Source organism: Homo sapiens, chromosome 19, assembly GCF_000001405.40.
Source record: "Homo sapiens chromosome 19, GRCh38.p14 Primary Assembly".
In the NCBI taxonomy this organism is placed as follows: domain Eukaryota; kingdom Metazoa; phylum Chordata; class Mammalia; order Primates; family Hominidae; genus Homo; species Homo sapiens.
Window position 1 is genome coordinate 19,217,590 of NC_000019.10, and position 22,437 is coordinate 19,240,026.

The window sequence follows — 22,437 nt, forward strand, 5'->3', positions numbered from 1 at the left end:
TGCTTTACCTTTCGGAAAAACTGGGGCTCAGGGAAGGAAAATGCCTCTCCCAGGGCCATACAGTGAATCAGTGGCACTGGAGTGAAATCCCTGTCCTTATAAAAATAAAGTGAGGGGCTAGGCACAGTGGTTTATGCCTATAATTCTAGCACTTTGGGAGGCTGAGGCAGGCAGATCACTTGAGGTCAGGGGTTCCAGGCTAGCCTGCCTAACATGGTGAAACTCCGTCTCTACAGAAAATACAAAAATTAGCCAGGTGTGGTGGCACATGCCTGTAATCCCATCTTCTCGGGAGGCTGAGGCATGAGAATCGCTTGAACCTGGGAGGCGAAGGTTGCAGTGAGCCGAGATCATGCCACTCCACTCCAGCCTGGGTGACAGAGTCAGACTCAAAAAAATAATAATAAGGCTGGGTGTAGTGGCTCACCCCTATAATCCCAGAACTGTGGGAGGCCAAGGTAGGTGGATCAGTTGAGGTCAGGAATTGGAGACCAGCCTGGCCAACATGGTGAAACCCATCTCTACTAAAAATGCAAAAATTAGCCAGGCGTGGTGGCACACACCTGTAATCCCAGCTACTGGGGAGGCTGAGGCAGGAGAATTGCTTGAACTTAGGAGGCAGAGGTTGCAGTGAGCTGAGATCATGCCACTGCACTCCAGCCTGGGAGATGGAGCGAGACTCCATCTCAAAAGTATAAATAAATAAAAGAATAATAATAATAAGGGGCTGGGCACAGTGGCTCATACCTATAATCCCAGCACTTTCGGGAGGCTGAGGTGGGAGGATTGCTTGAGTCTAGGAGCTTGAGGCTGCAGTGAATCATGATCATGTCACTGCATTCTACCCTGGGCGATAGAGTGAGACTCAATCTCTAAAAATAGTTTTTTGTTTTTTTTTTTGAGATGGAGTTTCGCTCTTGTTGCCCAGGCTGGAGTGCAATGGTGCGACCTTGGCTCACCGCAACCTCTGCCTCCCGGGTTCAAGCGATTCTCCTGCCTCAGCCTCCTGAGTAGCTGGGATTACAGGCATGTGCCACCACACCCAGCTAATTTTGTATTTTTAGTAAAGACAGGGTTTCTCCATGTTGGTCAGGCTGGTTTCAAATTCCTGACCTCAGGTGATTTGCCCGCCTTGGTCTCTCAAAGTGCTGGGGTTACAGGCATGAGCTATCGCGTCCAGCCACTGCTTGGATTCTGAGGTCAAGTGGCCCTAGGTTCAAATTCTGGCTCAGCCCTTTTAAAAAATTTTTTAAAAGAGGGAAATAGCAGTCCCTGCTTGGTTCTTGCCTCTGAATCAGGCCCTCTCTCCACCTTCTCCAACCCAGGCACACAGGATATCACCGATGCCAGCGAAAGGGGGCTCCACATGCAGAAGCTGGGGTCTGGGTCAGTGCAGGCTGCGCTGGCGGAGCTGGTGGCCCTGCCCTGTCTCTTTACCCTGCAGCCACGGCCAAGCGCAGCCCGAGATGCCCCTCGGATAAAGTGGACCAAGGTGCGGACTGCGTCGGGCCAGCGACAGGACTTGCCCATCCTGGTGGCCAAGGACAATGTCGTGAGGGTGGCCAAAAGCTGGCAGGGACGAGTGTCACTGCCTTCCTACCCCCGGCGCCGAGCCAACGCCACGCTACTTCTGGGGCCACTGAGGGCCAGTGACTCTGGGCTGTACCGCTGCCAGGTGGTGAGGGGCATCGAGGATGAGCAGGACCTGGTGCCCTTGGAGGTGACAGGTCAGTTGGGGGCAAAGGAGGGGCCGGGGGCCGGGGAGAGGGAGGGCTGAGCCTGGAGCCCACCCACTGAATGTCACCTTAGAAATCACTCCCTGAGACCTGGCCTGGTGTCTCATGCCTGTAATCCCAGCACTTTGGCAGGCCAAGGCGGGTGGATTGCTTGAGCACAGGAGTTCGAGACCAGCCTGGGTAACATGGTGAAACCTCGTCTCCACAGAAAATACAAAAATTAGCCAGGCATGGTGGCACATGCCTGTAGTCCAGCTACTTGGGAGGCATAGGTGGGAGGATCACTTGAGACTGGGAGGTTGAGGCTACTCCACTCCAGCCTGGATGACAGAGGGAGACCCTGTCACAAAAAAAAAAAAAAAAAAAAGGAAAGAAATCACTCTCTGAACCGGGATTCCCTTTGAATTCTTCTGATAAAGTCCTAAAGTCTTTATGGTGCCTATAATCTGAGCACTTTGGGAGGCCGAGGCGTGTGGATCAGTTGAGGTCAGGAGTTTGAGACCAGTGTGGCCAACATGGTGAAACCCCGTCTTTAAAAAAAAAAAAAAAAAATTAGCCAGGCATGGTGATGCATGCCTGTGATCCCAGCTACTTGGGAGGCTGAGGCAGGAGAACTGCTTGAACCCAGAAGGTGGAGGTTGCAGTGAGCTGAGATTGAGCCACTGCACTCCAGCCTGGGCCACACCGCGAGACTCTGTCTCAAAAGAAAAAAAACGTCTGTATCAGTATGGGTACTATCTTGTCTTTAACACCTCTCTTTTTTAGCTATGAGAGAGGAGTCTCCAGCTCAGACTTCTGGGGGCCACAATATCTAGGCAGGATTTTTGTTTGTTTGTTTTGAGATGGAGTCTCACTCTTGTTGCCCAGGCTGGAGTGCAGTGGTGCTATCTAAGCTCACTGCATCCTCCGTCTAGGCAGGATTTTACTTGGAGTCAATTTTATGGTTATCTGATTTTATGTAAGACAAAGGATACTGGCTTTCTATTTAAAATAGAAATAAAAAATTCCTTGTAAAATAAACTTAAGTTTTTTTCTAAGTGAGGCAATTTTTTAAAAGTAAGTTAATTTAAGATGTATATTAAATATTAAGCAAGAACAATTCTCAAATACCTGTTTAGGCAATTCTTTTTTTTTTTTTTTTTTTTTTTTGAGATGGGAGTCTCGCTCTGTCTCCCAGGCTGGAGTGCAGTGGCATGATCTCAACTCATCGCCAGCTCTGCCTCCCGGGTTCACACCATTCTCCTGCCTCAGCCTCCTGAGTAGCTGGGACTACAGGCGCCCGCCACAGCGCCTGGCTAATTTTTTGTATTTTTAGTAGAGACGGGGTTTCACCGTGTTAGCCAGGATGGTCTTGATCTCCTGACCTCGTGATCTGCCCACCTCGGCCTCCCAAAGTGCTAGGATTACCAGGCATGAGCCACCGCACCTGGCAACCAATTCCTTTATTAAATTCTTCTTGTTGAGCTGCGTGTGGTAGTGCACACCTGTAGTTTCAGCACTTTGGGAGGCTGAAGAGGAAGGGTCACTTCAGCCAGGAATTCAAGACCAGCCTGGGAAACATAGCAAGACCCTGTCTCTATTAGAAAAACAAAAACAAACAAACAAACAAAAAACAAAAAACGGGGATGGGGGCCCAGTGGCTCATGTCTGTAATCCCAGCACTTTGGGAGACCAAGGCAGGAGAATCACTTAAGCTCAGGAGTTTGAGACCAGCCTGGGCAACATAGTGAGACCTTGTCTATACAAAATTCCAAATTCCAAAACATTAGCCAGGTATGATGGTGTGTTCCTGTAGTCTTAGCTACTCAGGAGGCTGAGGTGGGAGGATTGCTTGAGTCCCAAGAGATCGAGGCTGCAGCGAGCCTTGATCATGCCACTGCACTCCAGCCTGGGCAACACAGCAAGACCCTGTCTCAAAAATAATAATAATATGGCTGGGCGCAGTGGCTCACGCCTGTAATCCCAGCATTTTGGGAGGTCGAGACGGGTGGATCATGAGGTCAGGAGTTCGAGACCAGCAGATCATGAGGTCAGGAGTTCGAGACCAGCCTGGCCAAGATGGTGAAACCCCTTCTCTACTAAAAATACAAAAATTAGCCAGGCATGGTGGCACATTCCTGTAACCCCAGCTACTCGGGAGGCTGAGGCAGGAGAATCGCTTGAACCCAGGAGGTGGAGGTTGAGGTGAGCCGAGATTGTGCTATTGCACTCCAGCCTGGGCAACAAGAGGGAAACTCCATCTTAAAAATAATAATAATAATAATAATACAACTAAATAAGCCAGATGTGGCGGCTCACACCTCTAATCTCAGCATTTTGAAAGACTAAGGCAGGAGGATTGCTTGAGCCCAGGAGTTCAAGACCAGTCTGAGCAAGATGGTGAGACCTCGTCTCTACAAAATTTTTAAAAAAATATTAGCAGGGCATGCTAGTGTGCGCCTGTAGTCTCAGCTTGTCAGGAGGCTGAGGTGGGAGGATCGCTTAAGTCTGGAAGGTTGGAAGCTGCAGTGAGCTGAGATCGCACCACTGCACTTCAGCCTGGGTGACAGAGGGAGACCCTGACTCAAATAAATAAATAAATAAATAGTCAAAAACTAAAAATAAAGAACAGGGTTTGGCACACAGTAGATGCTCAATAAATGACTCAGTGAATGGATTATTGTACAGCAAACATCCCGTGGACTCCTGCTGGGAAACCTGTTTCCCTTAACTTAAATTGACCTTGGGCAAGTCCCTGATTCCTGTCTTGGGGCTTAACCTGCATGCCCCCAAACTGGGAACTGGGGACACAGTGTCTTACCACATAGTTTATGGAGTCAACCAGTCATCCCCTTTCAGAGGCCTCATTTCTGAAAATTGATAAAAGCTAACAACAACAACAACAACAAACTGATTGGTGGTGAGGCAAGTGAATTCCACATCTAGGTAACTTCAATTTCATTCATTCAGCCAAACTCTTTTTGTTGTTGTTTGAGACAGAGTCTCACTCTGTCACCCAGGCTGGAGTTCAGTGGTGTGATCTTGGCTCACTGCACCTCTGCCTCGTGGGTTCAAGCGATTCTCCTGCTTCAGCCTCTGGAGTAGCTGGGATTACAGGTGCACACAACCACACCTGGCTAATTTTTGTATTTTTAGTAGAGACAGGGTTTCACCACATTGGCCAGGCTGGTTTCCAACTCCTAGCCTCAAGTGATCTGCCTGCCTCGGTCTTCCAAAGTGCTGGGATTACAGGCATGAGCTGCTATGCCCGGACATTCAGCCAAACATTTATTGAGCACCTACACTGTACTGGTCCAATGCTGAGGACACAGAGCTCTCAGTTGGATAAGCCAGAGCAAAGTGTTTCATTTCATTGTCTTGTTCAGCCATTTCTTTCATCCCTAAATCAGAATTTGAATCACAGTGAGCCTGTTACCAGGGCTTCACATCCTGGCTTACATGTCACCTCCTCCAGGAAGCCTTCCAGGACCACATTTCCAGGCCAGGCAAGAACCACATTTGGGCCGGGCGCGGTGGCTCATGCCTGTAATCCCAGCACTTTGGGAGGCTGAGGTGGGCGGATCACGAGGTCAGGAGATCAAGACCATCCTGGCTAACATGGTGAAACCCCATCTCTACTAAAAATAGAAAAAAATTAGCTGGGCGTGATGGCAGGCGCCTGTAGTCCCAGCTACTTGGGAGGCTGAGGCAGGAGAATGGTGTGAACCCGGGAGGCGGAGCTTGCAGTGAGCTGAGATCGCGCCACTGCACTGCAGCCTGGCGACAGAGTGAGATTCTGTCTCAAAAAATAAATAAAATAAAATAAATAAAATAAAAAATAAATAAATAAATAAAAAAGAACCACATTTGGTCTCCCATTGCTGCCTGTGCTTCCCTATTAGCGCATGCACTTAATTCCTAAAAGGCAGAAACTCTCTGTCAGCCTTCTCCACACCTCCTGCCACCTCCAGGGCCTAACCCTGGGCATGAAGAGTGCTATCTTTGGAGTCAGATCTCTCTGAATTTGAATTCTGGTTCTGTTTCTTATTTGCTGCGTGGGCCTGGACCTGTCCCTCAACCTTTCTGACCCTAAGTTTCCTCCTCTAGAACAATCAGATTTGTTGTAAGAGTTCAATAAGATAATGCTTATAAATGCTTTTCTTTTTTTTAATGTTTTAGTTTTTTTGAGATGGAGTCTTGTTCTGTCTCCCAGGCTGGAGTGCAGTGGCTCAATCCCGGCTCACCGCAACCTCTGCCTCCTGGGTTCAAGCGATTCTCCTGCCTCAGCCGCCCTAGTAGCTGGGATTACAGACGCATGCCACCATGCCCAGCTATTTTTTGTATTTTTAGTAGAGACAGGGTTTCACCATGTTAGCCAGGCTGGTCTCGAACTCCTGACCTAAAGTGATCTGCCCACCTTGGCCTCCCAAAGTGCTAGGATTACAGAAGTGAGCCAACATGCCTGAACGGCCGTAAACGCTTTTCACATTGTAAATATTTGCTAACTTGTAACCCTTTATGGCCATTGTTATCAGTTTCCTCATCTGTAAAATGGGGGCATATGGATCTTGCTCCCCACCCTCGACCCACACTGTGCCTGGCGCTAGGTCTATTATTATCAGACAGGGGTGGGGAGTCATTCTGCAAGAGGTAGGTCTGTTCTTGAAGATTCCAGCATAAGTCAACTGTCCCCCCATCCTGGATGTTCCCCCACAGGTGTTGTGTTCCACTACCGATCAGCCCGGGACCGCTATGCACTGACCTTCGCTGAGGCCCAGGAGGCCTGCCGTCTCAGCTCAGCCATCATTGCAGCCCCTCGGCATCTACAGGCTGCCTTTGAGGATGGCTTTGACAACTGTGATGCTGGCTGGCTCTCTGACCGCACTGTTCGGTGAGGGGGATACACAGGGCAGGGAGATGAAGACTAGCTCATGGGGAAGGAGGTTCCTTGGGGGCTCCAGGAGCACACATCTGAGAGGGACCCTCCCCTTGTGTTGTCAGGTATCCTATCACCCAGTCCCGTCCTGGTTGCTATGGCGACCGTAGCAGCCTTCCAGGGGTTCGGAGCTATGGGAGGCGCAACCCACAGGAACTCTACGATGTGTATTGCTTTGCCCGGGAGCTGGGGGGTAAGTCTGGGACTGGCAGGACCCGGCCCCTCCGCCTCTCTTTGAGTATCTATTATTCTCCCCAACTCCCATCCTCCGGGGTCCTTATGCAACTCCCCTGTCTTATACCTCCCTAAACCTGCAACCAAGACATGATTCCACTCATTTTCTGAGCTTTCCATGCCTCCCTGAGTCCCCCTCCCTCCCTTTGCCCCCTTCCTCTCTCTGATCCTCTTTCCCTCTCTAATCCCCTGTCCCCTGCCTGCCTCCCTGTCCCTATCCCCTTCCTCCTCTGTGAGCCCCCTTCACCGAGCCCCTCCCTCTCTCTGAAGCCCGACTTGCCCATGGGCCTGAGTTACTCCATTTGTAAAAAGAGGCTTAGCTCTGCATGAGAGGTAAGGACAAGGATGATCCCGGAGCTGGACGCACAGCTGCGGTTGTCACCGCCTCTTCTAACCACCACCCTAACACGTCCAGGTCGGAACTATTTGGAGTTGGACCCACTTCCTGGGCTCCAGGGGAGGGTTCCCCAGCCCCCCTGACCTCCACCCGCCCCTCCCGCAGGCGAGGTCTTCTACGTGGGCCCGGCCCGCCGCCTGACACTGGCCGGCGCGCGTGCACAGTGCCGCCGCCAGGGTGCCGCGCTGGCCTCGGTGGGACAGCTGCACCTGGCCTGGCATGAGGGCCTGGACCAGTGCGACCCGGGCTGGCTGGCCGACGGCAGCGTGCGCTACCCGATCCAGACGCCGCGCCGGCGCTGCGGGGGCCCAGCCCCGGGCGTGCGCACCGTCTACCGCTTCGCTAACCGGACCGGCTTCCCCTCACCCGCCGAGCGCTTCGACGCCTACTGCTTCCGAGGTGCGTGCGTCCCCTGGTGGCCGCGCCCCCAGGGCTTTCACTTTGGCGAAGGCCACGTCCCTGAAAGCCTCGCCAAGCCAAGGGAGAGACACATGGAAGCTCGCTTTGTGATAAGCCACATCCCTGGGTGAGGGCCACGCCCCCGGGTGAAGGCCACACCCGTTACGACAAGTCTTTCCCTAGGAGCCCCGTCCTGGGTAAAGAACAGGGCTCCAGAGGAGGCCACTCTGGTGGGGAGTCACCTTTGCTGGGTGGGCTGTATCTCCTGAGGTCCGGAGGCCCCATAACCTTGAAAGACAAGCCCCTAGGTGGGGCATACTCTACCTAGAGCCACGCCCATACGCAGAAACACCCCCGTGGAAGAGATAATGCCTCAATTGGCCACCTCTGGGCACCACACCGGATGTGGGAGCAGGGATGACACTCGCCCTTGTTGGGGGGCAGTGGGGACAGCTTTGGAAGCTGCAAGCATCAACCCCAAGGAGCCATGTCCTCTAAGTAAGCTGCCCCAGTCCTGGCATGGGCATACCATGCCCACGGGGCACCACCTGTACCAGGGGAGGATCCGTCACCAAGGTTGAGTTGAACCCCTCAACAGGCAGACCCAAGTTCATGAGAGTTGGACACTACCTGAGCTTTGCCCATGAGCCAAATTGTCTTTTTTTCTTTTTTCTTTTGAGACAGAGTCTCACTCTGTCACCCAGGCTGGAGTGCAGTGGTGTGATCTCGGCTCACTGCAACCTCCACCTCCCTTGTTCAAGCAATTCTCCTGCCTCAGCCTTCGGAGTAGCTGGGACTACAGGAATGTGCCACCATGCCCAGCTAATTTTTGTATTTTTAGTAGAGACGGGGTTTCACCATGTTGGCCAGGCTGGTCTTGAACTCCTGACCTCAAGTGATCCACCCACCTTGGCCTCCCAAAGTGCTGGGATTACGGACGTGAGCCACCGCGCCTGGCCCAAATTCTCTTGAGTCCTCACTGCAGCCAGTTGACTCTGACCCTGACAGTGGCTCAGGTGGTCTCCAGCCTGAACAGTGGAGGTGAAAATTTTGCACTTCCCTCTCCCAGGCTGGGGGAATCTCAGAAACTACTTAGGAGAGACAGAGGTACACAGAAGGCTTATGCTGCAGCATGCTGGAAAGTGGGTAGACTTCAAGCAGAACTTCCCAGGCAACCCCTGGGCCTAACACAACCTCTTCTGCTTTCTCCCACAGCTCATCACCCCACGTCACAACATGGAGACCTAGAGACCCCATCCTCTGGGGATGAGGGGGAGATTCTGTCAGCAGAGGGGCCCCCAGTTAGAGAACTGGAGCCCACCCTGGAGGAGGAAGAGGTGGTCACCCCTGACTTCCAGGAGCCTCTGGTGTCCAGTGGGGAAGAAGAAACCCTGATTTTGGAGGAGAAGCAGGAGTCTCAACAGACCCTCAGCCCTACCCCTGGGGACCCCATGCTGGCCTCATGGCCCACTGGGGAAGTGTGGCTAAGCACGGTGGCCCCCAGCCCTAGCGACATGGGGGCAGGCACTGCAGCAAGTTCACACACGGAGGTGGCCCCAACTGACCCTATGCCTAGGAGAAGGGGGCGCTTCAAAGGGTTGAATGGGCGCTACTTCCAGCAGCAGGAACCGGAGCCGGGGCTGCAAGGGGGGATGGAGGCCAGCGCCCAGCCCCCCACCTCAGAGGCTGCAGTGAACCAAATGGAGCCTCCGTTGGCCATGGCAGTCACAGAGATGTTGGGCAGTGGCCAGAGCCGGAGCCCCTGGGCTGATCTGACCAATGAGGTGGATATGCCTGGAGCTGGTGAGTTGCTCTGGGGGAGGCGGGACCTACCTGGGGATCTGGAGGTGAGGGTAGAGAGGTAGCCATGGCTACACTCAGAATGAGGGAGGAAGCTCCAAATCCCAGCTGGGTCCTCTGGCCCCAGAAGCCCCCTCTCCCTTGGGCCTGGAGTCCAACCAAAGGGGCTGCTGAGAGATCATTGTAATGATTGCCTTGATGTTGTTGCAGGTTCTGCTGGTGGCAAGAGCTCCCCAGAGCCCTGGCTGTGGCCCCCTACCATGGTCCCACCCAGCATCTCAGGCCACAGCAGGGCCCCTGTCCTGGAGCTAGAGAAAGCCGAGGGCCCCAGTGCCAGGCCAGCCACCCCAGACCTGTTTTGGTCCCCCTTGGAGGCCACTGTCTCAGCTCCCAGCCCTGCCCCCTGGGAGGCATTCCCTGTGGCCACCTCCCCAGATCTCCCTATGATGGCCATGCTGCGTGGTCCCAAAGAGTGGATGCTACCACACCCCACCCCCATCTCCACCGAGGCCAATAGAGTTGAGGCACATGGTGAGGCCACCGCCACGGCTCCACCCTCCCCTGCTGCAGAGACCAAGGTGTATTCCCTGCCTCTCTCTTTGACCCCAACAGGACAGGGTGGAGAGGCCATGCCCACAACACCTGAGTCCCCCAGGGCAGACTTCAGAGAAACTGGGGAGACCAGCCCTGCTCAGGTCAACAAAGCTGAGCACTCCAGCTCCAGCCCATGGCCTTCTGTAAACAGGAATGTGGCTGTAGGTTTTGTCCCCACTGAGACTGCCACTGAGCCAACGGGCCTCAGGGGTATCCCGGGGTCTGAGTCTGGGGTCTTCGACACAGCAGAAAGCCCCACTTCTGGCTTGCAGGCCACTGTAGATGAGGTGCAGGACCCCTGGCCCTCAGTGTACAGCAAAGGGCTGGATGCAAGTTCCCCATCTGCCCCCCTGGGGAGCCCTGGAGTCTTCTTGGTACCCAAAGTCACCCCAAATTTGGAGCCTTGGGTTGCTACAGATGAAGGACCCACTGTGAATCCCATGGATTCCACAGTCACGCCGGCCCCCAGTGATGCTAGTGGAATTTGGGAACCTGGATCCCAGGTGTTTGAAGAAGCCGAAAGCACCACCTTGAGCCCTCAGGTGGCCCTGGATACAAGCATTGTGACGCCCCTCACGACCCTGGAGCAGGGGGACAAGGTTGGAGTTCCAGCCATGTCTACACTGGGCTCCTCAAGCTCCCAACCCCACCCAGAGCCAGAGGATCAGGTGGAGACCCAGGGAACATCAGGAGCTTCAGTGCCTCCGCATCAGAGCAGTCCCCTAGGGAAACCGGCTGTTCCTCCTGGGACACCGACTGCAGCCAGTGTGGGCGAGTCTGCCTCAGTTTCCTCAGGGGAGCCTACGGTACCGTGGGACCCCTCCAGCACCCTGCTGCCTGTCACCCTGGGCATAGAGGACTTCGAACTGGAGGTCCTGGCAGGGAGCCCGGGTGTAGAGAGCTTCTGGGAGGAGGTGGCAAGTGGAGAGGAGCCAGCCCTGCCAGGGACCCCTATGAATGCAGGTGCGGAGGAGGGTGAGTACAAAGTCCCGGGGCTCTGTCCAGCTCTCCATGGTCAGGGCTTGGGGAGCAGGGGCTGGGGGATCCCAGAGCAGGGAGGAATGGTTGTCCCTGGGGATCTGGAAGCTTTCTAGTGGGGCATGACGCTGGAGGTAGGAGCTTATCAGGTGGAGTTGAATTTCAGAAAGGACATTCCTGGCAGAGGAACGAGCACTGGCAAAGGCCAGGAGATGAAGTAGCGCTTGATCAATTTCGGGCACAGAGCATACATCCCAATGAACAAAGTGTGAGAGTAGTGAGTGGCCGGGCATGGTGCCTCATGCCTGTAATCCCAGCACTTTGGGAGGCTGAGGCGGGCAGATCACTTGAGGTCAGGAGTTCAAGACCAGCCTGGCCAACATGGCAAAACTCCGTCTCTACTAGAAATATAAAAATTAGCCGGGTGTGGTGGCACACACCTGTAATCCCAGCTACTGGGGAAGCTGAGGCATAAGAATCGCTTGAACCCGGGAGGCGGAGGTTGCAGTGAGCTGAGATTGTACCACTGCACTTCCAGCCTGGGTGACAGAGTGAGACTCTGTCAAAAACAAAAACAAAAACAAAGTGTGGGAGTGGCGAGGCATTGAGTAGAGTCTGATTTGGGGATGAGTTCAGGTACAAGCCATGTCTACATCTGCTTTGAGCTGGACAGTGGTGTGATGGACTGGCTTTCCAGGATTCCCCGAGTCTGAGGAAGACAGAGCAGGACACAGACGCCTCCCAGGCGAGACCAGAGGGAGGAGGCATGGCAGGGAGGGTTTCCTGGACAAATGTGAATGGGAGCTGGAATTCGGTGATTTGACTCGTGGGGGACCTCAAGCCACAGGGAAAGTGGGTGCTGGGGAGCCATGCAAGGGGCGAGAATCACCCCCATTCTACAGATAGCAAACCGGGGCTCAGGGAGGTAAAACGCCGCTTGGCTAATCAGTGGTCACACCTCAACTGGAGCCCAAGTCAGCCTGAGTCTTAGCTACTCTGTGGCCAGCAGCGTCCATAGAAATCGGCTGCCCTGTTCTCCCTGGGGCCAGGTCAGCCTCAGCTCAGCCTGCAAATTCCAGCCCTTCTTAGGTTCTGCCAAATTAAGCTGAGTTTTTTGGCCAAATGAAATTTAGAAACAAACAAACAAAAAAGAGGCTGCGTGTGATGGCTCATGCCTGTCATCCTAGCCCTTTGGGAGGCTGAGGTGGGAGAATCTCTTGAGCTCAAGAGTTAAGACCAGGCTGGCCAACACAGCAAGACCCCATCTCTACTAAAAATAAAAAGAAATTAGCCAGGCTGCAGTGAGCTATGATAGTTCCACCGCGAGACCCTGCATGAAATCAAACTAACAAAACAAAACAAGCAGCTAATTAATAAGTCTTTTTTTCTGAGTTGCACACTTTTTTTTTGTTTGTTTTTTGAGACTGAGTCTCACTCTGTCATCCAGCCTGGAGTGCAGTGGTGTGATCTCGGCGCACTGCAACCTCCGCCTCCCAGGTTCAAGTGATTCTCCTGCCTCAACCTTCTGAGTAGCTGGGATTACAGGCTCCCGCCACCACGCCTGGCTAATTTTTGTATTTTTAGTAGAGACAAGGCTTCACCATGTTGGCCAGGCTGGTCCCGAACTCCTGACCTCAGGTGATCCACCTGCCTTGGCCTCCCAAAGTGCTGGGATTACAACTGTGAGCCATAGCACCCAGTCGAGTTGCACACTTTTATTAACACCATTGATGTTTAACTACCGCACCCCCCACCCCCAAATTTTTTTTTTTTTTTTTTTAGAAAGGGTCTCACTCTGTCACCTAGGCTTGAGTGCAGTGGCAAGATCGTGGCTCACTGCAGCCTTGACCTCCCCAGGCTCAGGTGATCCTTCTGCCTCAGGCTCCCAAGCAGCTGGGACCAGGTGTGCACCAACAGGCCTGGCTAATTTTTGTATTTTTTATAGACAGGGTTTTGCCATGTTGCCCAAGCTAGTGCCCGTTTTTTTGAAGGCAAAGTGTCATGATGATGGAAATAGCTGATGCAGGTTTCATCATCCAGCCTGTCACTTCTGGGCTGTGTTGGGGTGGGATCTTTTTTTTTTTTTTCCTTTTTTTTTTTTTTCCAGACAGGGTCTTGGTCAGTTGTTCAGGCTGGAGTGCAGTGGTGCAATCATAGCTCACTGCACCGAGGCTCAAGTGATCCTCCCACATCAGCTTCTCCAGTAGCTTGGACTACAGGCATGCAACCACCACACCCGGCTGTGTGTGTGTGTGTGTGTGTGTGTGTGTGTGTGTGTGTGTGTGTAGAGATGGGGTCTCCCTATGTTATCCAGGCTGGTCTCAAACTCCTGGGCTCAAGTGATCCTCTTGCCTTGGCCTCCCAAAGTGTTGGGATTACAGACATGAGCCGTAGCGCCGGGCAGTTCTTTTTTTCTTAGATGTCCAGGAGGCAGGCCGACCGCCCCACCCCGTATCGATAAAGGCTGACATTTATGGGTTACTGCCAGTGTGCTTGGCTTATTCAAAGCACTTTACTGGAGTTATCTTGGTTAATCCTTTTAATGTCCTTATGGGAAAAGCTCCAGTGTGATCCTTACTTTGCAGATAGGGAGACAGACACAGAGAGGTGAAGTGCCTTGTGCAGCCATGCAACTAAGGGAGTGTCAAGGCTGGGGTTTGAATCCAGGTCATCTGAACATGGGGTTTCTTTTTTTTTTTTTTTTGAGAGAGAGAGTCTTTCTCCGTCGCCCAGGCTGGAGTACAGTGGTGATCTCAGGTCAGTGCAACCTCCGCCTCCCAGGTTCAAGTGATTTTCATGCCTCAGCCTCCTGAGTAGCTGGGATTGTAGGCGTGCACCACCATGTCTGGCTAATTTTTATACTTTTAGTAGAGATGGTGTTTCACCATGTTGACCAGGTTGGTCTCAAGCTCCTGACTCAAGTGATCTGCCCGCCTCAGCCTCCCGAAGTGCTGGGATTACAGGCGTGAGCCACCGCACCTGGCCGGAAAACAGAGCTTCTGTCTCAGCCACTAGGCTGCGAAATGCTTAGCTCGTTGGCATAAAAAAGTACATGAGGCCGGGCATGATGGCTCACACCTGTAATTCCAGCACTTTGGGAGGCTGAGACGGAGGATCACTTGAGCCCAGGAATTGGAGACCAGCCTTGGCAACATAGTGAGACCCCGTCTCTACAAAACAAATTTTAAAATTAGCCGGGCATGGTGGGTACCTGTGGTCCCAGCTACTCAGGGGTGCTGAGGTGGGAGGACCGCTTGACCCTGGGAGGTTGCAGCTGCAGTGAGCTATGATCATGCAACTGCACTCCAGCCTGGGGGACAGAGCAAGACTCCATCTCAAAAAAAAAAATTAATCTTGGGGTGGTGGTGAGGAGAGAAGAGACGGGCTAGGTGGGGATCAACCCTGGAAAGATGATCAGAGGGGAAGAAGCTCAATGCCCAAAGAAATAGAGAAGGGGCAGTCAGAGAGGTGGGAGGGCGACCACATAGGAACACTAAGGAAACGGGGGTTGGAGCTGCACCTGGGCTGAGGCTGAGTCTGTCTTGGACTTTTCTGGATCCTGGGCTCCACAATGAAGCCAACCACAGCAGGATGGAGATTGGCGGGCAGTGCTGGGGAGACCCAGGCAGCTACCCACCCGCCGCTTGCAGAAGAAATGCTAATGAAGCCAAAAATAAATGCAGTACCAGCGAGTGACTGAGTCACCGCCAGTCCGTGGGCAGGTGTCAGCAGCGCGGGGCACCTGGCGGGGCTCATGTGTCCCGCCGCCTGGCAGCCTTGTGCGTGTGCACACACGTGCAGGGCCGTCGTCCAGCCACAGGCCCTGCCATCCACAAGCCCGTTTGCCATCCATGGGGCCACCCCAGGGACAGGCCTCAGCTACCGCAGGAGGGCCAGCTGCTACCTTCATTCCGTTAGCAAGCAATTACTGAGTGCCTATTCTGTCCCAGACCATATGTTGAAACCAAATCCCCTCTCCTCTGAAAACTGACGTCCTAGAGCAACATTCTAGAACTTTCCCAGGGATGGAAATGTTCTCTATCCACGCTAATTTGAAAAATGGCTAGGACAACTGAGGGACGACGTTTTTACTTTTATTTCACTTTAATTGATTTAAGCGTGAATATCTATATGTGGCTGCCATATGGAACACCAGTGCTCTAGGGAAAGATACAGACAAGAAACGATTGTTCTAATAAAAAAAGTAAAGTAGTGCTCGCTTCAGCAGCACATATGCTATAATTAGAACAATATAGAGAAGATTAGCACAGCCCCTGTGCAAAAAATGAAGCATTTCATTCTTTTTTTTTTTTATGAGATGGAGTCTCACTCTGTCACCCAGGCTGGAGGCGCGATCTCAGCTCACTGCAACCTCCGCCTTCGGCATTCAAGGGATTCTCCTGCCTCAGCCTCCCGAGTAGCTGGGATTACAGGTTCCTGCCACCATACCCAGCTAATTTTTTGTATTTTTAGTAGAGATGGGGTTTCACCATGTTGGCCAGGCTGGTCTCGAACTCCTGACCTCAGGTGATCCACCTGCCTTGGCCTCCCAAAGTGCTAGGATTACAGGCATGAGCCATGGCACCTGGCCTCTTTTTTTTTAATTTAATTTTTCAAAAAATTTAATTCCACTGGGCAGTGGAATGGTCAGATGCTGCCCTGACAGGATCTGGGTTGGCTGGAGCAGGATGAGGATTTTTTTTCAGTCTGTCACCCAGGCTAGAACCTATGTCCACTCCTGTGCCCCAATTCATGAGAAGCACAGTGATGAGCAGGGTGTGCCCAAAGGAGGGGAAGGACACTGAAGTCAGGGAGGACACTGAAGCCCATGTTCTGGGAGAAGACATTCTACGAGGTCCTTCAGGCAGCCCTGGTCTCTGGGAGCCCCATTCCAGTTCAGTCTGAGGAAGGACTTTGCTACAGGCAGGAAAGTCCCCAGATGCTTTGGGGCAGTTTCTGGAAGCAGTAAACTCCTCGTAACAGGGGTCATATGGGAGGGAGTTGGTGACCGCTGGTTGGGGAAGTTATAAAGAGGGCTCCATAGAGAGGGTTTGATTAGAGTGGTTTGGGGGCCTGGGGTCTTGATTCCAGGAAGGCAAAAGATCTGTGGCCTGACTCTTCCCCACACTACCCATCCATCCTGCAGTGCACTCAGATCCCTGTGAGAACAACCCTTGTCTTCATGGAGGGACATGTAATGCCAATGGCACCATGTATGGCTGTAGCTGTGATCAGGGCTTCGCCGGGGAGAACTGTGAGATTGGTGAGTACCCCAGACTCAGGATCTGAATCTGAATTTGTTTGACTCCAGAGCCTTGGGTTGTACTCCAGCAGCCATGCCCTCAGAATTCAGAGATCACAAAAAGCTGGTTTCAGATGCTCCATTCCCAAACCCCACTCCTTGCATTCAGCTAAATCAGCCCAGTTAGTGGAACCAGAATCAAACAGCTGAGCTTTCATCTCTGGTGTGCTGTCTCCCATTACTACCAGTCAGAGGTGGGAAGGAAAAGACAAAGGAATTATATGTCTGAGACTCCTCCCTGCAAAGGCCCTTTGGAGATCCTGCCCTTTCCTGGGTCGGTGGGAGGTATAAGCACTGCCACCAGAACTGTTGGGTGCTAGCTTCAAAGCCCAACACAAGAAATACTACCAATTATGAAATTACAACAACAAATATAAATGACATAATTTTTTGAGCTCTATGTGTCATCTTGACTTCACAACCTTCACAACCACATGACTGATTACAGAATTATAACAATAAATATAAATGATATAATTTCTTGAGCTCTTCTATTGCTTCCCTACTCACAATCATCCTTGAGTAGGAGCCCATTATTATTACCATTTTCAAAAAAAGTAAGCTGAGTTTCAAGGAGGGGAAGTGACTTGCCCAGTGCCATACGTGCCTCAAGCACTGTCTACACATGGACCAGTAGAAGAGGAGCTCAATGAATATCTAGCTTTACCCACAAACAGCTTTGTGACTCTGTGCAAGTCTTTGCAAATGCCTAAAAGAGACTCCAGCTTCAGCATTCTATGAGCCTGTTTTTGAGAGTATAACCTTCACTTCTCTAGAGTCAGGTAGAACAGTCTGCACATCCTGGCTCTCAGCTGCCCCAGTGGCATCTGCTCTCATTAATGCTAATTTATGTTAATTGTATGAGGTTCCACCCCCTTGCCTGCAGAGTCATTGGGCCATCTGTGCAAACTGTGACTGCTGCACTTAGGTCCAGGATGGATGGTAGGACCATGACCCCATCTTCTGCTTAGTTTCCTGTGGGGGCTCAGAGCCAAGGGGAAGCTGACCTCTAACTCAGTCTCTTCCCCTCTCTGCCAGACATTGATGACTGCCTCTGCAGCCCCTGTGAGAATGGAGGCACCTGTATTGATGAGGTCAATGGCTTTGTCTGCCTTTGCCTCCCCAGCTATGGGGGCAGCTTTTGTGAGAAAGGTGAGTTTCTATTGCAACACCAGAAACAGTACCAAGAGTGGGGTTGGGTGCCCAGCCACAGGCTTCCCCACATACTCCAGGTCCCTGCCTCCAGTTCCATGGCTGTGAGCCTGACACAAGATAAATTATTCTTTTAGACAAACTGTGCGTAACATAGAATTAACCATTTTACTTTATTTTATTATTTTTTTGAGATGGAATCTTGCTCTGTCACCCAGGCTGGAGTGCAGTGGCGCCATCTCAGCTCACTGCAACCCCCACCTCCCAGTTTCAAGCAATTTTCCCTGCCTCAGCCTCCCAAGTAGCTGGGATTACAGGCGCCCGCCACCACGCCTGGCTAATTTTTGTATTTTTTAGTAGAGATGGGGTTTTGCTATGTTGGCCGGGCTGGTCTTGAACTCCTGACCTCAGGTGATCCACCCACCTTGGCATCCCAAAGTGCTGGAATTACAGGCATGTGCCACTGCGCCTGCCCTATTTTATTTTATTTTTTTTTTTTGAGACAGAGTCTCGCTCTGTCACCAGGCTGGAATGTAGTGGCACAATCTCAGCTCACTGCAACCTCCAACTCCCTGGTCCAAGTGATTCTCCTACCTCAGCCTCCCGAGTAGCTGGGATTACAGGCACACGCCACCACGCCTAGCTAAATTTATTTTATTTTTTGAGACAGGGTCTCACCCTGGCACCCAGGCTGGATGGAGTGCAGTGGTGCGATCTTGGCTCATTGCAGCTTTGACCTCCCAAGCTCAAGTGATCCTCCCTCCTTAGCCTCCCCAGTAGGCTGGGACTACAGGCACACACCACCATGCCTGGCTAATTTTTGTATTTTTTGTAGAGACAAGGTTTCACCATGTTGCCCAGACTGGTCTTGAACTCCTGAGCTCAAGCAATCTGTCCACATCAGCCTCCCAAACTACTGGGATTACAGCCACTGAGCCCAGCCAAATTAACCATTTTAAAGTGTACATTTCAGTGGCATTCTGTACAATCACAATGTTGTACAGCCATCACCTCTGTCTAGTTCCAGAACTTTTTCAACACCCCAGAAGGAAACTCTGTGCCCACTAGGTGGTCACTCCCTATTCCCATTCCCCAGTCCCTGGCAACCACTAATCTGCTTTCTGTCTCTGTGGATTTGCCTGTTCTAGACATTTCATATGAATGGAATCTCAAAATATGTGTCTTTTGTGTCTGGCTTCTTTCACTTGGCATGTTTTCAAGGTTCACCTGTATTGTAATATGAATCAGTGTTTCATTCCTTTTCATGGCTGAGTAGTATTCCATTGTATGGCTATATCACATTTTGTTTATCCATTCATGGTTTGATGGATATTTGGGTTGTTTCCTCCAGAGGCTAAGGTCAATAGTGCTGCTGTGAATATATTCTTGTATGTGTTTTTGTTTGAATAACTATTTGCCATTCTTTTTTTTCCCTCTACTCTTTTTGGTGTATACTCTCAGGAGTGGAATTGCTGGGTCATATGGTAACTCTAGGTTTAATTTACTTTTTTTTTGTAGAGATGGGGTTTTGCCATGTTGCCCAGGCTGCTCTAAAACTCCTGGGTTCATGTGATCCTCCTGCCTCAGCCTCCCAAAGTGCTGGAATTACAGACATGAGCCACTGTGCTTGGCCTTTTTTTTTTTTTTTTGAAACAGGTTCTCACTCTGTGCCCAGGCTGGAAAGTACAGTGGTACAATCATAGTTCACTGTCACCTTGAACTCCCAGGCTCAAGCGATTCTCTTGCTTCAGCCTACCCAGTAGCTGGAACTACAGGTTTGTGCCACCATGCCTGGCTAATTTTTATTTTTTTAATTTCTTTTTATTTTTATTTTTTGAGACAGGGTCTCACTCTGTCACCTAGGCTGGAGTGAAGTGGTGTGATCTTGGCTCACTACAACCTCCACCTCCCGGTTCAAGTGATTCTTGTGCCTCAATCTCCCCAGTATCTGGGACTATAGGCACCTACCACCACACGTGACTCAATTTTTTTTTTTTTTGAAGTTTAGTAGAGATGGGGCCAGGCTGGTCTTGAACTCCTGGCCTCAAGTGATCCACCAGCCTCGACCTCCCAAAATACTGGGATTACAGGCATGAACCACCATCCTCAGCCTACTTTTCCTTTTAAAAAAAAATTATATGTAATCCCAGCACTTTGGGAGGCCAAGGCAGGCTGATCATGTCAGGAGATCAAGACCATCCTGGCCAACATGGAGAAACCCCATCTCTACTAAAAATACAAAAATTAGCAGGCATGGCGACACGTGCCTGTAATCCCAGGTACTTGGGAGGCTGAGGCAGGAGAATTGCTTGAACCTGGGAGGTGGTGTCTACAGTGAGCCAAGATCGCACCATTACACTCCAGCCTGGGCAACAGAGCCAGACTCCATCTCAAAAAAAAAAAAATTTTATATATATATATCTCCATCCTAGTGGGTGTGAAGTGATATCTCATGGTGGTTTTGACATTGACAATGAGCATCTTTTCATGTGCTTGTTGGCCATTTGTATGTCTTCTGTGGAGAAATGTCTGAGCTCCCATGTCCATACGAAGGGTGTGGCCCCGACATCAGAGAAGGAGCCTTCAGCATTGGAATGAGAGGGGGTGTCAGGGAATGATCTCCCAGTTAAATCTCTTCCAGAAACAAAGAAAAGACATTAAGATTTGGCCAGTGTGGTGGCTCACGTCTGTAATTCCAGCATTTTGGGAGGCTGAGGTGGGCAGATCACTTGAGGCCAGGAGTTTGAGACCAACCTGACCAACATGGTGAAACCCTATCTCTACTAAAAATACAAAATTAGGTGGGCGTGGTGGCGCACGCCTGTAATCCCAGCTACTCAGGAGGCTGAGGTGGGAGGATTGCTTGAGTATGGGAGGCGGAGGTAGCAGTGAGCCGAGATTGTGCCATTGCACGCCAGCCTGGGCGACGGAGTGAGACCCTGTCCAAAAAAAAAAGAAAAAAAAGAAGTCAATATGGGAGGTGAAAGGGTTGGGAGAGCAGAGCCTCAGGAGGAGGGGCCAGGCATGGGGAGAGGGGTGATTTCGCCCCGCAGTGACCTTGGATTGGGCCCTCTCTCTGGTGGGCTGGCTGTGCTCATGGCTGGTAGGCCTTGGGCCAAGGCCAGCCCCCCCTCACGCTCCTATCCCATCTCCCAGACACCGAGGGCTGTGACCGCGGCTGGCATAAGTTCCAGGGCCACTGTTACCGCTATTTTGCCCACCGGAGGGCATGGGAAGATGCCGAGAAGGACTGCCGCCGCCGCTCCGGCCACCTGACCAGCGTCCACTCACCGGAGGAACACAGCTTCATTAATAGTAGGGGCTCTGGGGAGGGGGCCACCTGCCTGGAGGGTGGGCAGGGGTGGCACTTGTAGCCCTTTTGCCAGGGCATCGCATCCCTCCCCTGGTTTTCAAGACGTCATCTTTCCAAAGCTGTGTTCATTAACGCAAGCCCTGACTGCTTCTTAATGCATGAAATCTGTCAATTCACTTGTTAATTCATACATTCACTTCATTCATTCATTCACCAAATATTTACTGAGCACCTGCTATATGCCAGGCACCATTCCAGGAATATTGACACAGCACAGCAGCAATCAAGGCTGACTTTGCTTTGTCCCCAGGGAGTGACCATTTCTTGGGGAGGATATAGACAAACAAGTAAATATCTAAGTAAATAAGTCTATACTGTAATTCAACAGATCCTATGTGTGCTGATAACAAAACAGGGCCAGGAGATGGAGGGTGATGGGAGAAGCACCTGTAATGTGTTCAAAGACCTAGGAGAGAGACAAGTGTTCCATTCATGTAATCCGGGACTTATTGATTTATTCATTATCCCTCTGCCTTCTGCTCATCCATCCATTTATTCTGTTTATTCCGTTTGCCACCATCCCATCCCTCGTGACTCCTTCCTTTCTTCCTTCCCTGATTTGTTTCTTTTTCCTTGATGTATCCCACTGGGCCTCTCCCTCCTGAGCGACTGGCTCGCGCCTTCTCACCTATCTGCCCGTCCAGCGCCCACTGGCGTCTCCTGTCCCCTACTTCTCATTTCTGCAAAGATGCAACAGTGCCCGGGTTTACTCCTGCTTCTCCTGGCCACAAACCCTGGGATAGCCTGGGCCTACTTCCGGTTCTTCCCATGCCTCACCCCCCTAAAAGAGGGTAGCCAGAGTCCCCACTTGTGGAGGGTGGGGTGAGGATGCACCTCCAGCCTACACTGAGGCTGGGAGAGGGGTTCATGCCTGCCCCCTACCCTCCTCCTCCTTCCTTTCCCTCCTACCTCCCCATCTTCCCTCCCACTCCTCCCCCTCCTCCTTCTATACCTCTTCCTCCCTCTTCCCCATCCTCCCTCCCCCTCCTCTCCCTCCTCCTTCCATTCTTTCTCCTCCTCCCTCCTACTCCTCCCCTTCTCCCTCCTCTCCTCCCCTTCCTCCTTCCACTCATCTTCCACCTCCTTTCTCCTCTCCATCCTCCCTCCCCTCCTCCCTCTCCTCCTCCCATTCCTCCTCTTCCTCTCTCCTCTCCTCCCCCTTCCCTCCCCCTCCTCCTTCCACTCATCTTCTTCCTCCTTTCTGCTCCTCATCCTGCCTCTCCCTCCTCCCATTCATCCCCTCCTCCCTCCTGCTCCTCCCCAGGCCTCCTCCCTTCTACTCCTCCTCCTTCTCCTTCCTCTTCCCCTTGCTCTTCCTCCTCCCTTCCACTCCTCCTCTTTTCTCCTCCCCATTCATCTCCCACTCTTCCCCCTCCTCCCTCCAACTCCTCCCCTCCTCCTTCCATTCATCTTTCTCCTCCTTTCTCCTTCCCTTCCTCCTCCCTCTTCTCTCCTTCCTCCCTCCCATTCCTCTGCCTCCTCCTTCCACTCATCTTCCTCCTCCTTTCTCTTCCCCATCCTCCCTCCCACTCCTCCCCCTCCTTCTTCCACTGATCT

General features: G+C 51.9%; 1 protein-coding gene and 1 pseudogene across 1 annotated transcript in view, besides 2 other annotated features; both read left to right on the plus strand.

Annotated features, from left to right (window-relative positions):
• The window catches only part of NCAN (neurocan), a 40,276-nt gene that overhangs the window by 5,632 nt on the left and 12,207 nt on the right, over window positions 1–22,437 (plus strand). The window contains exons 3-11 of the mRNA NM_004386.3: window positions 1,326–1,727; window positions 6,432–6,606; window positions 6,717–6,844; window positions 7,388–7,681; window positions 8,897–9,484; window positions 9,692–11,050; window positions 16,200–16,316; window positions 17,394–17,507; window positions 20,664–20,822. Of these exons, the coding sequence (NP_004377.2) occupies window positions 1,326–1,727; window positions 6,432–6,606; window positions 6,717–6,844; window positions 7,388–7,681; window positions 8,897–9,484; window positions 9,692–11,050; window positions 16,200–16,316; window positions 17,394–17,507; window positions 20,664–20,822 (3,336 nt within the window). The remainder of the gene's footprint in view (window positions 1–1,325; window positions 1,728–6,431; window positions 6,607–6,716; window positions 6,845–7,387; window positions 7,682–8,896; window positions 9,485–9,691; window positions 11,051–16,199; window positions 16,317–17,393; window positions 17,508–20,663; window positions 20,823–22,437) is intronic.
• Window positions 7,373–7,522: a silencer, noted in NCBI's record as "silent region_10436". NCBI's record gives its function as "represses an Ori minimal core promoter by ATAC-STARR-seq in GM12878 lymphoblastoid cells {active_cell/tissue: GM12878}" and the evidence as "EXISTENCE:reporter gene assay evidence [ECO:0000049][PMID:35858748]".
• Window positions 7,813–8,072: an enhancer, noted in NCBI's record as "active region_14343". NCBI's record gives its function as "activates an Ori minimal core promoter by ATAC-STARR-seq in GM12878 lymphoblastoid cells {active_cell/tissue: GM12878}" and the evidence as "EXISTENCE:reporter gene assay evidence [ECO:0000049][PMID:35858748]".
• Window positions 15,266–15,358, plus strand: RNU6-1028P (RNA, U6 small nuclear 1028, pseudogene; annotated as a pseudogene).